We start from the raw sequence: 17,212 nt of genomic DNA on the forward strand, positions 1-17,212 counted from the left end.
TCTGCAGATTCATCCATGAACCCCAAGTTAAGAATATCTGTACTACGCATTTACTTCTTGACCCTCTGTAATCCCAAGGATGCCACTGTGGGGGCTGTAGGCATACCCCAGCCAAGTTCAAGTTGGTATTCCTTGAATAAAGTAATGTAGTGACACACCTTGGATCCTGTGTTATTCTTAATTCTTCATTACTTATAACAGTATTAAAAGGCAGAGGCATAGTTTACCTTATAAGTACCCAGTAAATTTTTTTAATGAATAGCAAGGCATTCGATGTATTGTAGAAATATTTAGTGGTCATTTTTTATTCTTTCAGCTGGATGCTTCAGGTAACATGTACTTTGATTTTGAGTCCACATTGCCAGGAGATCCCAGTGATGATTACAAATTTATAAAACCAACGATCCTTCTCAGATTCCATACCTATTTCAGACTTACTAGAGTTCACTGACAGGAATTTCCTGTTGATGTATTTAGGATCTACAGAGTTTTTGTTTTTAGTATGTGTGCGTGCAATCTACTTATTAAAGTGAGTTTTTTTCATTTGTGGTAATTGTGTGGTAGTTCATCAGGATATGTTGAGATCATCTGCCTTTAAAAAATGCCTTTTAAAGTTCATATATGTGTCTTTTCAAATCATGTGAACAATTACATTGCTTAAGGGAGGAAAAATGCTTTTATAGATTATTCTCTCTCCCGTTATTCCAAGAACTGTATAAGTCAAAATTCATCTCATTTTTTACCTTGAATCCAAATAGTTTTATAAATAACCACATCCAAATAGCATACACCTGTAATTGTTTCTGTTGGCAGTACGTTACAGTAATGTGTTTTTAGATTTTTGATATTTTTAAAGACTTTCAATTTTAAAAAATTAAATCATCTATGAATTAAAGTTAGTTATCAACTGTGATTGTAATAGTGCCTATGTTGCCTATGTAATACAAAATATTAAGTAAATTCCACATTTATTTTATCTACCCAAATGACAGTGACCTCATTTTTCTGTACCCTTCCTCTTAAGTTAATTCGTTATTAATTTTTTATATATGATGACTCAACCTCTGTTCCCTTGCTTTTAAGCACTGAAAAATAAAAATTAACAGAAATGTGGTTAATTCCAAGTACAAGTGAGAGGAAAATTTAACTAATATGTCATCTGTCTTGTCTTCTGTAAGATTTTTAGAAATCGCTGTGGTCAAGAGTGATATGAATCAAGTACATCCTTATATTCCTTGTGGCAGTGTAAATTGGACTAGCTCATTCAGGAAATGATTTAGCTATAGGATCAAGAACCAAAAGAAGTCTATTCTCTAGGGCACTATAATTCCACTTCTGAAAATTTACCTGAAATAATTCAGAAGAAACCGTGAACCAAATTATAACACTGGGAAATAACCAAGTAAATTAGGCAGGTGCAGTCTTTAGGAACAAACATTAAAAAATCATTTCTGAAGGCTGACAACACAGAAGATACATATAATATTGAACAATTAAATATAAAATTTATTTTTTATAACCATTGTGTGGGGTTGAGATTGTGGATAAAGATGAAGCAAACTCTGAAAGATAAAAACGGAATGTTGGTTGTGGGATTGTGGGTATACTACTTTGGTTGCCATTGGATAATTTATTTAAAACACACAGATTGGCCAGGCATGGTGGCTCATACCTGTAATCCCACCACTTTGGGAGGCCGAGGTGGGTGGATCACTTGAGTTCAGGAGTTGGAGACCAGCCTGACCAACATGGTGAAACCCCATCTCTACTAAAAATATAAAAAATTAGCTGGGCGTGGCGGTGGGTGCCTGAAATCTCAGCTACTCAGGACGCTGAGGCAAGAGAATTGCTTGAACCTGGGAGATGGAGGTTGCAATAGGCCATAATCACACCACTGCACTCCAGCCAGGGCAACAGAGTGAGACTTCTCAAAAAAAAAAAAAAAAAAAAAACTAAAAAACACTAGATTGACCAGAATGGATTCTTGTATTTTTTTTCTTACCATAAAGTTTTATAGGCAAAATAGAAAATTTCATTTTGCATATAGGAAACTCTAAAGCATTTTGCATAATAATTGATGGTACACAGGGTAATTCCCACATTTGAAAAATTGTTAAAGGAAGTGATTTTTCTAGAGTTTTGATTAACAGCTTTAGTTTCTTGAATTATCTGTGCTCTTGTTTGTTCTTATAATTAGAGAAAATTATTTTTATATAGGTAACAAAATCAAATCAAGGCATATCAGAGATGAGAGTATATGATGTACAAATATTTCAAGTGACAAGATCAACTGTATAACATTTTGTTGGTTGTCCTATTCTGTTTGTATTTTTCTCAGGCTCTATCAAAGAAAGCAAGAGATGGAAAATTGTTGCCTGAAGAATACCAAGGAGGATCTTTTAGGTAAAATTTAAACTCTTAATTATCCATAGCATCAAACAGATAGATGTAAGACTTATAAAGTCCCTGTCAGCCTTTCATTTATCTGAAATATTTTTTAAAATTTAAGCTAAAAATACTTTATTTAGACAATAGAATATCTGAAAAAATTCTTCAGACTAGTCAGGCTTTCATATTAAAGCTAGTAGGAACCTATTAGTGTTGAACTAAACGTTCGTTGGACATTGACTAACATGGAATGATAAATATTATGTATTCTTTAGTATCTGACCCACCCCCAATATTAATGTCTGTAATATTATATTGCTATGTGAAACAACCACTTATTTATTATTGCAGCATATAATATTCTATTGTATAAATATACCAGAATTCATTTTACTGTTGGTGGGCATTTGCGTTGCTTCCAGTTCGGGGCTATTACAAATTATGGTGCTATGAACATTCTTATTAGTGTCTTATAGTGAATGTATGTACATTTTTTGTTGTATAGACCTAAAAGTAGAATTCCTAAGTTAGAAGCTTTAGCAGCTACTACCAAACAATTTTCCAAATGGTTATACAAATTTACACCTCCACCAACGGTCCTGAGAATTCCCATTGCTCCACATTCTTGCCACTATTTAATAATGTTAGGTTTTAAATTTTAACAATTCTTGGGGTGTGTAGTGGTACTCTTTGTAGGAAAATGCAAATTAGTGATGTTGAGTACTTTTCACTCATCAGCCGTTTGGGTATCTGGTAATTCATGAGATAAAGTACCCACTGCAATCTGGTGTCCATTTAAAAAAATGATGTATAGTTCTTATTTCTGGATATACAGACCTTTATAGGATATATATTGTTTCAAATAGCTTTCACACTCTGTGACTTGCCTTTGGGACTCTCTCGGTGATTTTTTTAAATGAACGGAAGTTCTGAGTTTTAATGAATTCCTATTTATCAGTATTTTTCTTTGTAGTTGGTACTGTTCATTTTCTGTTAGGAATTTTTGCCTATCTCAGAGTCATGAAGTTACTCTTCTGTGTTATCTTCTAAAAGCATTTACGTTACTTTTCACATGTAGATCACAATTCAACTGAAATTGGATTTTGTATATAATGTGAAGTTTCAAGTGCTCTTTTTTCCCCATATGGATACTAAATTTACACAGCATCATGTATTGAATATTGATTTCTCCTTTTTCATAGCATTGAAAAGGTGATTATATATGTGTTGGTCTAGTTCTGTGCTATTTTTTTTCCACTGGCCTGTTTGTCTATCCTTTGTTTACTACCACCAAGCTATAACTCTTGATAGCTGGTAATGAAGTCTTCCAATTTTGTTCACCCTCAAGATTGTCTTCTGGCTTTTCGTATTTCCAAATAAATTGTAAAATTGATTTGCCATTTTTCACACACACACCCCTTGCTGGTTTCTTGATTGGGATTGCATTAAGTCTTTTGATGATTTGAGAATTGACATCCTTACAGTATTGAGTATTCTAACCTGTGAATATGGTAGAAACCATTGTGTATTCAGTTATTTGATTTCTTTCAGTTATGTTTTATAATTTTCTGTGTAGAGGTCTTGTATATGTTTCATTAGATTTATTCTTTGGTATTTGTTTTTTGATACTATTATAAATGGTATTGTTTTAAATTTTTATTTTCTAATTATAGCAACTTGTATGTAGAGTCATGTGCCACTTTATGATGGGGATATGAGAAATGCATTGTTAGGCAGTTTCATCATGCAAACATCATAGAGTGTACTTACGCAAATCATGCAAACATCATAGAGTGTACTTACACAAACCTAAATGGTACATGCTGCTACACACCTTAGCTGTATGATATAGCCAGTTGCTCCTAGACTGCAAACCTATACAGCATGTTACTCTACTGAATACCGTAAGCAGTTGTGACACAATGATGAGTATTTGGGTATCTAAACATATCTAAGCATTTTTAAAATGTACAGTAAAAATGTAAAAAGTAAAACATGGTACACCTGTTTAGGGCACTTACCGTGAATGGAGCTTGCAAGACTAGAAGTTGCTCTGGAAGAATCAGTGAATGAGTGAATGCTTAGGACATCACTATACACTACTGTAGACTTTATAAACACTGCACACTTAGGCTACACTAAATTTATTTTTAAAATAAAGTAATTGCAATATGATGTTATGACAGCTATGATGCCACTAGGCAGCAGAAATTCCTGAGCTCCATTATAATCTTATAAGACCACCGTTGTATATGTGATCCTTCGTTATGTGGGACATGACTCGATATAAAATGGATTGTTATATTGACCTTTTATCTGATGACTTAACTAAATTTACTTATTAATTTTACTAGTTATCTATAGTCTCATTTTTCCTGTGTACACAATTAATTTATTTGTAAATACTAAATGTTTCCTTTTTTCATTACTCATATATTTTTTTCTTGCCTTACTACACTGCCTAGTAAAATATATAAAATATGTGCTTCACGGAAAGGGGACTTTGATTAAGGACATGCCTCCTTCAGAGCTTTTTCTTTTCCCCCTAGTATTTCCAACTTGGGGATGTTTGGCATCGACGAATTTACTGCAGTGATTAACCCTCCTCAGGCCTGCATTTTGGCGGTTGGGAGGTTCCGACCTGTGCTGAAGCTCACTGAGGATGAAGAGGGAAATGCCAAACTGCAGCAGCGCCAGCTCATAACAGTCACAATGTCAAGTGACAGTCGAGTGGTTGATGACGAACTGGCAACCAGGTTTCTTAAAAGTTTTAAAGCAAACCTAGAGAATCCTATCCGACTTGCCTAGTCCTCAAAGATAAGAAGTTGGTGTTCAGCTTAGTTGATTCAGTAGTTGTTACCAAGAAACATATGTTATAGGAAAACAACTTGGTATTTAAGTATGAAGTGGATGAAATGTTTATTTATTTAAGGTGAAAGCATTTGACCCAGGGTGTCTTCATCTTCAATTTGGGTTTAATGTTATAGAAATAAATGATGATAAACTCTAACTAATAAAGGAAAGAGAATATTTGGTTACTCAGATCCATTTTTAACCTCTGGTGCTGTATAAAGGGAATATTAAACTAGATGTAAATCAAAGTATATGTTTGGCTCATTTGAGCATTTTGGAATATTTGAGAATGTATGATACATGTAAAATTAAAAAAACTATTAGAACTGTACCATAATTATGTTGAAGGTAGAAGTGATCTTCAAAGAGATGGCCATTAACTTAGCAGTGGGACCTCACTTTTACAAGCACTGCTCTAGATATACTTGAAGAATTTAATAGGTACAGAAGTTTATTCTGGATAATAAATAAATAAGGATCACACTGTATTAGGGGTTATGGCAACATTATTGAATTTTTTATGTACATAAAGCCATATGTTTAGGGTGGTTTCTATCTGTCTTGTTTTTCACTTATATAACACTGTGAACTTCTAAAGCAAGAGGATAAAAGAAGCATGAATGAAAAGAATGACATTTCAAAAAAATGGTTCAATGAAAAACTATAGCTAAAATATGTAAACCTTTCTAGGTAAACCGCTTGCCTTCATCTTGAGTCGGAATATATTTAAATAAATTGTGTTATCTCTTGCCAAACATTTTGTTAGTGTTTATTTAAAAACAAAATGTTGTTTCTTAATGCATTTAAATCAGTTTTGTATTGTGCAGTAAAATGTGAGAAAATATAAACATTTCTATTGTATTTTAAATGTTAAAACACAAAAGTTCAATAAACCTTGAAGTTGATTAGTAGTTTTTCTAGAACACCTTTAAAAGGGCTCTACAGGAGAAAAGACGGAATTTAAAATTAGTATGACATTAGGAAAGTAACTGATAGGAAATGTAAAACTTTGGAAAGAGAATAGAAGACTTATGAAGCCAAACAGATGAGAACTATCCTTTTTATTTCACTAATATGAAATTTTCACTAATTATTATAAAGTTTAGAAGAGTTTGTTTCTCTCTTTTGGCAGCTCTGCTATAACTGTCAAGATAACTATATTTAAGTTGGATGGTAATGAATGGTAATTTAATTAACTTGTCACAAAAAGGTTTATGTTAGTGTCAGCTGACATGAATCAATAGAAGAAAGGCTAATATAGTACAAGTTGTATGGTATGACATGATGAATTATAAACCCTAACAGAAGAGCCTTCTAAAATAATTAGCACCCTGGTGTATTAATTGTTAAGAAAATGCTTAATCCAACTATCCAACTCAGTTTAACAAGCCATTTAAAAAAAATAGTCTTCAAAACTTTTGTCATATTAACAGTTACACTGAAAATTATAACCAAAGGCTATTTTCAAAATAATTTTTATGTTACATTATTTCCAAGGTCAGTTTTAATCGAAATTATTATTATTATTACTACTTTTTCTTGAGATGGGGTCTTGCTCTGTGGCCCAGGCTGTAGTGCAGTGCTGGGATCACAGATCACTGCAACCTCGACCTCCTAGGCTCAAGTGATCCTCCTCCCTCAGCCTCCCGAGTAGCTAAGGACTAAAGGCATGCACCATCATGCCTGGCTAATTTTTCTATTTTTTTTTTTTAGAGACAGGGTCTTGCCATGTTGCTCAGGCTGGTCCCAAACTCCTGGGCTCAAGTAGTCGACCCACCTTGGCCTCGCAAAGTGCTGGGATTACACAGGCATGAGCTACTGTGCTAGGCCGTTGTTTTTGTTGTGGTTGTTGTTTGTTTGTTCATTTTAATTTTTATATCTGAGGAACAGAACATGATGAGGCAGCCATAAATAAGCCTGACTCAGAGTTCTGCTTTTCATGAACTGACGTACATAAGCAGTAGTGCATCTGTTTCCCTATAGGTGAAATGGGCATTAATATTTACTCAGCCTGCCTTAGAGAGTTGAACTGTACAAGGGAAATCGCTGTATAAATTTAAGATGTTTTAATTCATGGACCTCACAACCAGGCTTTTCATATAATCACCTGCCTCTCATGGTTTGACTTCTCAGCTTCTGGTACAAATGCTTGTTCATTCTGACCAAAAATATTGTCTCTGGTATTTCTATACTGATGAGGTGGTTTAGATTAAGGAAGTTTTCATTTCTAAAAAGAATTTTGTTGTAGTTTGAGATCAAAGAATAACACTGAGAAAGGAGTATGGTATACTTGGTTTGAACTGTGTGCTACACTACCAGGCCCCTTCCACATTATACTACTAATTTATTTAAAATAGATAGGTATCACACTGAGAGGATATAAAAAAAATTTCTGCCTCTTCATTTTTGTTTCTTGTTTGAACAGAAAAAATGACCAAAATATTGGGAGTACTTCTAAGGAAAAGGCAACACACATTCCAGTTAACACTTGGATGTGAAAATATCAATGAATATTAGAATTTATAAGTCAAACTGGCTCTGCTCGCTGATTGCAATTTTTAGTTACATTCACTATTTTGTGCTAAATTTAAGTCATTGGTATACGACTGGCCAGAGTCCTTGGTTTTAAACATTACTGAGAACTTTATATATACTCTTAATGGGTATTTTATATAATGTCGAATGAAACTTTTATTTTTAGATTTTTAAAAAATATTTTGCACTTTGGACTTAATTTTACACTAAATTGTATCAGCCAGCCTAAGGGCATTATGCTAAATGTAAATCTAGTTCTTGGTTAAGCTTTTATTGAAAGATAGGTGGTGCTGTAAGTTAATATATTGTAGTGAAAGTGTGGGAGAAAAGTTAAATTGGCACTTAAATCTTAGTTTTCAAGGAAAACGTGTCCCGCACATACTGCATTATGATGGACTTTGTCTCAGGTGAAGTGAAGAAGTGAAAGAATCAAGTGTATGGCCGGTAAGAATTAACCATTAATTTAAATGGGATGCTATTAGTGGGAAACTTTTACTGATTTTTGAAGAAGGAAGTAACAGTGCAGATTTACTTTTATCAGTCTGGCCATAATGTGCAAGTCAGTAGGTCAAAACAGGGAGAGGATAGCAGTCATCAGAAAAGAACTGGAAGATTTTGCCATAATGAAAGTATAAGTTGATTAGGATCTGCACTAGGTCAGTGTCTTTAAAGAAGGAGGAAATGGGTAAAAGTTGGCATGTTACCATGCTATGAGGTGTCTTATGAATATATGGGGTAGATGTATTCAGTCAGATAATGCAGGAACAGTGATAGAATTTCCCATCCAAAACACTAGTCCTCCATGGCTCACGTTCACCAATATGAAAACGAATAAGATTCCAGTAAGTTATGTACAGCAAATAGTGTATTTCAGTAGACATTTAAACTTTTTGTGAATGGAAAAGGCAATAGTCTTTCTATAAAATCCTTTTACATAGTTTTATATTACAAAAATGTGTGTGTGTCTCCATTGGTTTCAGGAGATGGGGGGCAAACAGGGTTGGAGGGAGGATATGGTTTGTCTAGACTTGTAATATTGAAACACCATTTAATTGAAACTGTAAGGTTTACAGATGTATTTTGAAAAATTATTAGCCTCTCAATAGCAGTCTTTTGTTTCTTTGATCATATAAATTCTATTTTCACATTTTATCCGTATCTTTGCTTTTTTTGCAACAAGTCCAAGCAGCTTTCTTCCTGGGAAAATGAATGTTTTGTGAATCTCTCAGTTTAACCTCTGTTGTATGATACATACCATTAAGGAAAATGGGTTTTCATTAAAAGTTGAGAAACTTTTAGCAAAATCATTAATTAGTCATGATTTGCTTTTTTTAATACCTAAAATGTATATTTTAAAATTTCTTAGTTTATGAAATTCTGTTACTCCTATTACTAAAAGATGAGCCTTTTAAATATAAGACTCTTGTGATCAAGTGGAATAACATTGATTATATCACTTTATAAAGCATAAAGTATTATGGAAATGTAAGATGTTAAATTTAAATTTTTAATCTCATAAATTGCACTTAGTAGCTCATCAGTCTGATGGGGAATGGTATATCAGGAACTTATAAGATGGTACTTAATACCATAACTTAAGTTATTCTTCCCAGTGGAACTACTGGTGATTGTATGTAACTTTGTTTCCCAAGTTTGCATACTCTTAAAATCAAGACTTTTAAGGCTAGTTTCAGCTTTAGAAGTTACTGCGCTCTTGGCAAAACCTTATTTCTGTGCCTCAGTATTCTTACCTATAAAATGAGGAAGCAAGGGGGAAAATTAATCACTGTACTGGTTGCTTATCTTTTTTAATTTCTTCAGTTATAGGCAGGAAGTGTATGCTACTTATCAATCATCATGGATGATGTAACATTTACCTCCCGCATAGAATCTCAGAGATTACACATACAAATTCAGAGATTATGTAAATTGGCCAAAGCTCAAAAGTACGACAACTGGGATTTGAACCAAGATCTGTGCAGCACCAAAGCTCAAGCTCACTGCATTGCAATATACACCTTCTAAGTTGTGCTGCTGCGGCTGAAAGTTCTGTATGCAAAGAGTATTTTCCACCTATGGTAACTGAAGTTCCTGAGTTCCTGTTCTTCTGTATTAAAGCTAATGTGTTTACGACCTAACCACTTTTAAAATTAATTCATATTTTCTCTGTAGTGGCTCTCTTTGTGCCTTTCTAGTGTGCAGAAAGTACTGAGGGATTTTTTGTTGTTGTTTTTTCATTATGGACAGCTCTTAACCTGAAGTAACTAATGTTAAGTGTCATCACTTGTACCTCTAAGTAGAAAAATAGAAGCTGATGGGGCTTAGTGCCTCTAGGTATAAAAAAAAAATGACCTAGAAGCTGCTACTTTCAATAAATAGGTTGATTCTTGTCCCAGTTAAGACCAAAAGTGGTTACCTTAGTTTTCATTTCTGAGGCCTCAGGCTTCTATATTGATTACTGTATCAGTCATGGTCTAATCAGTTAGGGTTCAGTAGTTTATGGTGGAGAAGTTCATTGGGTCGCCAGGTTGGGTCTGTTCATAGTTGTCCAGTGAAGGGGAAGCAACCATCCAGGGCACACGTAAGCCTCAGCTGGCACGCTGAGGGTCAGGGTACCACTGCGGCCTGGGGTATGTGGTGTCTGTTGAGAAGACCATGCAAAGGTATTGATAAGGCCAAGCTGGGGCTGCTATTCTGGGCAAAAGGCAGGGTCAAAGCACCACTGGATGTCCACCATTTTGAAGCTGAGAAACAGTAAATTAATAACTAGCACAAAGCCCAACCTGAGGCTGGGAAATAAAATGTAATCTTATAATTGGGAATAATACCAGATGATAGGATAGCTTAGTAAGGTATAGCAGTCTATATTAGAACTGTTTTGTGGGTAGAAATCTATCTAAGCTAGAGATATTATTTTGAAAATACTGTCACTGTTTTAAGTAAATTACCTGATTTGCTGGGTGAGACATTTACTAAAATGTAAAGCAAAAGTAAAATGTTGAAATATATTATGCATTCAACAGTTGTGAATATCTGCTGTGCATAGCTAACAGCCTTTACCCTCAATCAATTTAAACTATAGGTAAGTGATATTTACATGCCCAAACATAATTCAGCAGATTCTATAATCAAAGCATGTGCATAGTTGAGAAGATGGCTTCATTGACTAGGTGACATTTGAACCAGCTTTTTGCATTACTGAGTATAACCCACCCCACTTTTTGTCTGGTTTCCCTAATTTCAGTAATCAAATATTTAACACCCAAATACATAAATTCATCAGTTCATTTTTCCAGGACCTTGGCTCAATACCTGTGTGTACATATCACAACAATAACTAATTCCCACAAAGCCTAGAAACTTTTAGTTGGAAGGAAAATTACTCATATGGCATGTTAGTTGTACAGAGAAAGTTTTATTTACACCCTACTATTCGCAAAGAAAATATTCTTTGTTAAGTCATCCGTCCTAAAGAAAGATGAGGAATAGACACTTACCGTTGTCTAATCAAAATGTATTTTAATTCTTCAACTCTCCTACCTCTTCCCTGGCCCCTGCTTTTTTTGAAGGTGTCCTGTGTGTGCAAATGCATCTTTACATATCTTGACGCTCATTGTTTTGTTCTCAAGGGGATCATCTGTTAAATTTATTTTCAGAGAATCATAAGCATCTTTGGACTCTCGAGCTAACTTGCAAAACTATAGGAGTGAGTGAAAATCAAATATTATTTTTAACATTCAGTATTTTTAATGCTAAAAATCAAGTTAATATGCTCTTTATTAGTTCAAAATGAATGTTTGAGGTGTGGAAGCCAACTTACTCACCTGCTAGTACCATGTAGCTCTTCATGAATTGCATAGCTCCCACAGTTAAGTAGATTTTATTACTTACTAAATACCTTATGTTATTTGTGGGCATTTCATTTTGACACCAAATTGTCTATTATTGGTAAATTAATAAGAAAGTATTCTGCCTTAACCTGTTAAATACTAGTTAGAATGTCATGATGAGTTTCAGGTATTCTCTTTATACTTTCAATGTTTGATACAACTTTAGAAGAATGAGAATGGACACTTTTGTCGATGTACCTATTTTGAGAGCAAACGCTAATCCCGCCTTTAAAAATGTGCAATTTTAGCCATTTTTACTGGAGAATGCTGGAAGTCATTATTCCTATGAACTGAGAATACGGGAGACTATGACTTGGACAAAATGGAAACTCAAGATTCAGTGGGGTACAGGGCTTTTGTGTGTTTGTTTTTGTTTTCTCATTTCGCAAATGAGTCCTTGCAACTTTGGAAAATATTGAGAGTAATAGCTTCATAAAGTTTTTTTTTTTTTTTTTTTTTTTTGAGATGGAGTCTCCCTCTGTTGCCCAGGCTGGAGTGCAGTGGCACGATCTCGGCTCACTGCAACCTCCGTTTTCCAGCTTAAGCGATTCTTCTGCCTCAGCCTCCCGAGTAGCTGGTACTACAGGCATGTGCCAATTTTTATTTTTAGTAGAAACAGGGTTTCACCATATTGACCAGGCTGGTCTCAAACTCCTTACCTCGTGATCTGCCCACCTTGGCCTCCCAAAGTGCTGGGATTACAGGCGTGAGCCACCGCGCCCAGGCTTTTTAAATTTTTTTCTTTTTTTTTTTTTTTTTTTGAGACAGGGTCTCTCTCTGTTGCCTAGGCTGGAGTGCAGTGACGTGATCATAGCTCCACTGCAGCCTCCAACTCCTGGGCTTAGGAGATTCTCCCACCTCAGCCTCCTGATAGCTGGGACTACAAGTGCGTACCATCACGCCTGGCAAGTTTTTAAAATTTTTTGTAGAGATGAGGTCTTGCTATGTTGCCCAGGCTGGTCTCGAACTCCTGACCTCAAGCAATCCTCCTGCCTTGGCCTCCCAAAGTGCTGGGATTACAGGCATGAGCCACCATGACCAGCTGTAAAAAGTCTTAAAAATGGAAAAACTGGTAAACATAGATTAATAAGTATTTTACTTGGGAAATTATAGGACTTTTTCTAGGTAGATATTTTTATAGTTATCTAATTACTTGGTTCTCATTAAGTAGATAAAGACCTTTTCTTCAAATTATACATATGTTGACCATGAAAATATAATATACTAATAGCTAACTTACTGTATTCCAGACATTGTTTTGAATACTTTATACATATTATTAACTCATTAAGTCTTCACCAAAACCCAATAAGATAGGTTGTGTTATCAGTATTTCACAGAAAGGTATTAGTATTATCAATATTTCACAGAAGGTTCATTAAGTAACTTAAATCTGAGATTACACAGCTAATAAGTAGCAGTGACCGTATTTCAAGGCAGGCAGCCTGGCCCCAGAGCCTCACAAGTCTCCTTTCTAAAAACATCTATTTCTTAGGAAATTTTGGAGTTCAGCACATTAAAAAGATTTTTATAAGTTGGGTAATAGTTCTCTTTTGATATAGTGAACACAGCCTGTTGAACTTCTCGGGAGCATCTTCTACAGGGGTTGCACATGCCATAGAAATAAGTCTGTGGCTAAAACCACAGTAATTTGACATTTGGTTTCCTTTAGATTTTAATATTAATGTATAGTGTATTCCTTCAACCTTCTGATTCATGAAGGGGTGGTAGCTGGTGTGAATTAATTAAGAGTCAAACAGGAAAATAATACCTCAGTGTTCTTATTTAAAGGGCATGTTATTGGGTGATGACCAAAGAGTTCTTTAGTTTTGGTCTGGGATGACAAGTTACAGAGGAGGAAAAGTAATAAATTTTTAAAAAGAAAATGTAATAAATGTCTTTGTGGTTGAAAGTACATGTTCTTTCTATGCAGTTAGCAGAGCTTGGGAGGTAGAAGTACCTCCTTGGTTTTCCCCAGATTATTTTGCAAGTTTAAAGTATGTCACTTGTTCCCTCATCCTTACTATCACCAACACAATTATTTTGTACAGTATTAACACAAGGCTCACACCTTGTAAGGATGACAGGCTGATTGGATTTCTCACTCTTCCCTGCTCCAACCCTTTCAATGAGTCAGTCTGACCCCCACCAAATGCATTCCTTTTTTAAGGGACTGGGGGAATCTTGCTGGAGTGTTCTGTGCCTAGCTGTCAAAAACATACTCGATTAAGTAAAAGCACTATTTGTCAAGACTAGCCCATAACATTATGCTTTTTTGTAAAATGTTCTGAGGCCAGTTTCCCTTTTATGGTGGGTGGATATGTGAACATTTTATGCTCGTAGCATTGACTCATTTCTTATTTGGAGACCAGATAAGTCATCTTGTATATTTATTTTTTATGATACGGTAAATAAGACATTCAAAAGCAACTAACCTGAAGCCTCCTTTTAAAAATATCCCCCAGTTGTGTTTTTTCATAAATGAAAAATTGCACTCCCTTTAATTGGGGAATGACTTTTTACCTAAGGTTTCTACCTTATGATACTCAGATAACAGATATTTGGTGGACTTTTGCTTTTTTCAAGAGAAAAATTATTAAGGAGAACATGCAGGGGGGAATAAGACTAACAACATGGAAAATACTCATGGTATGTTTCATGAAAAATATAGAACATAAATTTCGTGGAAGTATGTAGAAAAATTGAATAGGTACGTGCACAGGAGCTCAAGAATAATATGGTCAGTCAGTCATCTGATTTGATGAGAGACAGAGCTGGCCATTTAAAAAGAAAATGTAAAGTTTCACTGCATTTTTTTTTCCTGCACTGAAGGACACTCCTTAGTGGTTAGTGTTGATTATTAGCATTGGCCTAAAGACCAAACAACACCATTGAGTAACAGGATTTTTCAAGATTCCATGTATTTGTCTGGTATTTGGGTTTTATTTCACTTTACAAAGATTTTCTTTTTTGTTGTTCTTGTTGTTTTATTATACTTTAAGTTCTGGGATACACGTGCAGAACGTTCAGGTTTGTTACATATGTATACACTTGCCATGTTGGTTTGCCACACCCATCAACCTGTCATCTACATTAGGTATTTCTCCTAATGCTATCCCTCCCCTAGCCCCCCACCCCCCAACAGGCCCTGGTGTGTGATGTTCCCCTCCCTGCGTTCATGTGTTCTCATTGTTCAACTCCCACTTATGAGTGAGAACATGCCGTATTTGGTTTTCTGTTCCTGTGTTAGTTTGCTGAGAATGCTGGTTTCCAGCTTCATCCAAGTCCCTGCAAAGGACATGAACTCATCCTTTTTTGTGGCTGCAAAGTATTCCATGGTGTATATGTGCCACATTTTCTTTATCCAGTCTATTATTGATGGGCATTTGGGTTGGTTCCAAGTCTACAAAGATGTTTTCAAATACAAGTATTGATGATTTTAAAGTAATTGTACGCAAAGCTGTGATGTTCATGTGTACTCCATTTGGTGGAAGGCAGAAATGCTCACTGATCTTTTGTTATGTACCCCCAAACATGTACGAGATCCGACCAGGAAGCAAGAGAAACTGCTTTTGTTCCCTGCTTCTCCCCCATTGCCCCCAAGGAGCCATCTGATGTGGACTCATTAAAAGGGAGAATATTTATTAGGCTACAGTGCCAAGTCTGCCATCTGTTATTATTGCTCTCAGCTTTTCCACATGGCAGGTGTGGTCACATCAGCCTCAAGCCATTCCTACTTGAGAGGCAGCCTTCTTAGGAAGGGCTGGATTAGGCAGATTAAATTATCTGCCTTAGATCTTAGGGAATATTTCTTTTCCTTTTGATTTAATTGTACAAAGGTTTCTATTCTTTGTTTTCTTCTTGACAGGAGAATGGTAAACTAAAGGGCTGAGATAAGGGTGTGAACCTATGGGATAGAAGCCCAGGAGGCTGTTTAACCTGTTTCTGTTCTTGGCTTAAGCAGTGGTGTGCCGGTAAATGTTTAACAACCAGCTCTTTGGAGAAGAAATGCATATGGATATATAACCAATTATAAGTCTGTTATAAATTTTACTGATTTACAAGGAGTAAAATATATGACTTACTAAGAACTATAGAACATACAATACTCCTTATTGTATGTTATCACGGAATGCTTTACCTGATTTTATAGAACGCTTTTATTTGCAGCCAAACTATGATTGCAGTTGATGAATAAGTAGGTTACTGACCTAAATGTTGGTTGACATTTTCCTTTACACAAAAGAATAAGATAAAAGTTAAAACAACAGTGACACAGAAGTTTACATGTTTGTCCATGAAGAGAGTACTTTCTCTACTGAATCAGATAATTTTCAAATACTGGAATATTTTCTCAAATTTTGTGCTATTCATAGTGTACCAACTACAAACATGACATTTTTAAGTTTAATCTGCATTATTTACATTTTTCTCTATTATTTTCTTAAGTCTAGAGACAATCCACAATAAATCAATCCCTGATTTGTAGTATTTGCTGATTTCGGTGGTATAAATGCTCTGATTTCAAGCTTCCAATGTAATGTTACTGAGTGTAGAATTAGGAAGAGATGCATAGCTCTCCATTATTACATAGTATTTCCACCATTAAAGATACAATAGAGGTAAAAACCTCAAGAACATAGATAATAGTAAATGAATAGGAAGTGGTGAGCTTTGGGTATTTATTATCTTTGCTTCCGGTATAATTTATTGAATCCTAAGCTTATATAATTTAGCTTTCAGTAATAGCTGTGTTTAATAATCAGCTTGCAAAGTTCTTAAAAGTTTAACAATCAGCTCTCACGAGCTGGTACAAGCCAGCTTCAGCACACCACTGGCCTTAGGCATTCCAATGGCAGTGGTGGTGGGGGTCGGGGGAGACATACGCCAATATGCCATGCTTTTTAAAATATGAAACCCAGGGCCCCACTCCTGGAAATGAGTCTAAGGTGAGACATCAGGGTTTGAGGTCGGAGCTCCATTAACAACCTCTCTTTGCCAGGTCTTGTTCTCTGCTCATCTCCTTTGGGACCTCATGGGGTAGAGGGTGGAATGGGGGTTTGAGGTGGGAAAGAGTTCATGTGCTCTAGATCCTGGGGCTCAGCCACTTTTTTCACTACTGCTAACTTGGGGTACTGGCCCAGCCCCCTTGACATCCTGCGGATATCTTGCTATCCTACGGAAGTGGAAATCAACCCAATTTCTCAGTTCCTAACCAGAAATTAGACTCCTAGAGACCACTGAGAAAGCAGAACTGAATATGAAAGGCTGTGGGCTAGTTAGTTGGGACCATGAAATCTTTTGCTGGGGCTGGCTGCTGACTCATGGGGGAACTTTTCTGTCTCAGTAGCCCACATGCTCAAATATCGTTGTTAAGTAAAGCTTAAGGGCAAAGCGTGATGGCCTCTTGTGTTGGTGTAAAGCTTACTCAACAAATGAAAAAGAATGGTGGCCTCCATCATTTTTTGAAATTAGTCCATGAAAACCTGAACTTAGAACACATGAAATAAGGAATGATGTTATTTTTTAAAAGGGCTTTTGCTTTA

At 35.5% G+C, this 17,212-nt stretch overlaps 1 protein-coding gene across 4 annotated transcripts in view; it reads left to right on the forward strand.

The window, feature by feature from the left end:
• PDHX (pyruvate dehydrogenase complex component X) overlaps nucleotides 1–6,152 on the forward strand; it is an 80,209-nt gene extending 74,057 nt beyond the window's left edge. For all 4 annotated transcript variants that reach the window (XM_011520390.2, NM_001135024.2, NM_003477.3 and 1 more), the window contains 2 exons: nucleotides 2,339–2,403; nucleotides 4,938–6,152. In XM_011520390.2, the coding sequence (XP_011518692.1) occupies nucleotides 2,339–2,403; nucleotides 4,938–5,196 (324 nt within the window). In that variant the 3' untranslated portion in view covers nucleotides 5,197–6,152. The remainder of the gene's footprint in view (nucleotides 1–2,338; nucleotides 2,404–4,937) is intronic.

Source organism: Homo sapiens, chromosome 11 (genome assembly GCF_000001405.40).
Source record: "Homo sapiens chromosome 11, GRCh38.p14 Primary Assembly".
NCBI lineage: Eukaryota > Metazoa > Chordata > Mammalia > Primates > Hominidae > Homo > Homo sapiens.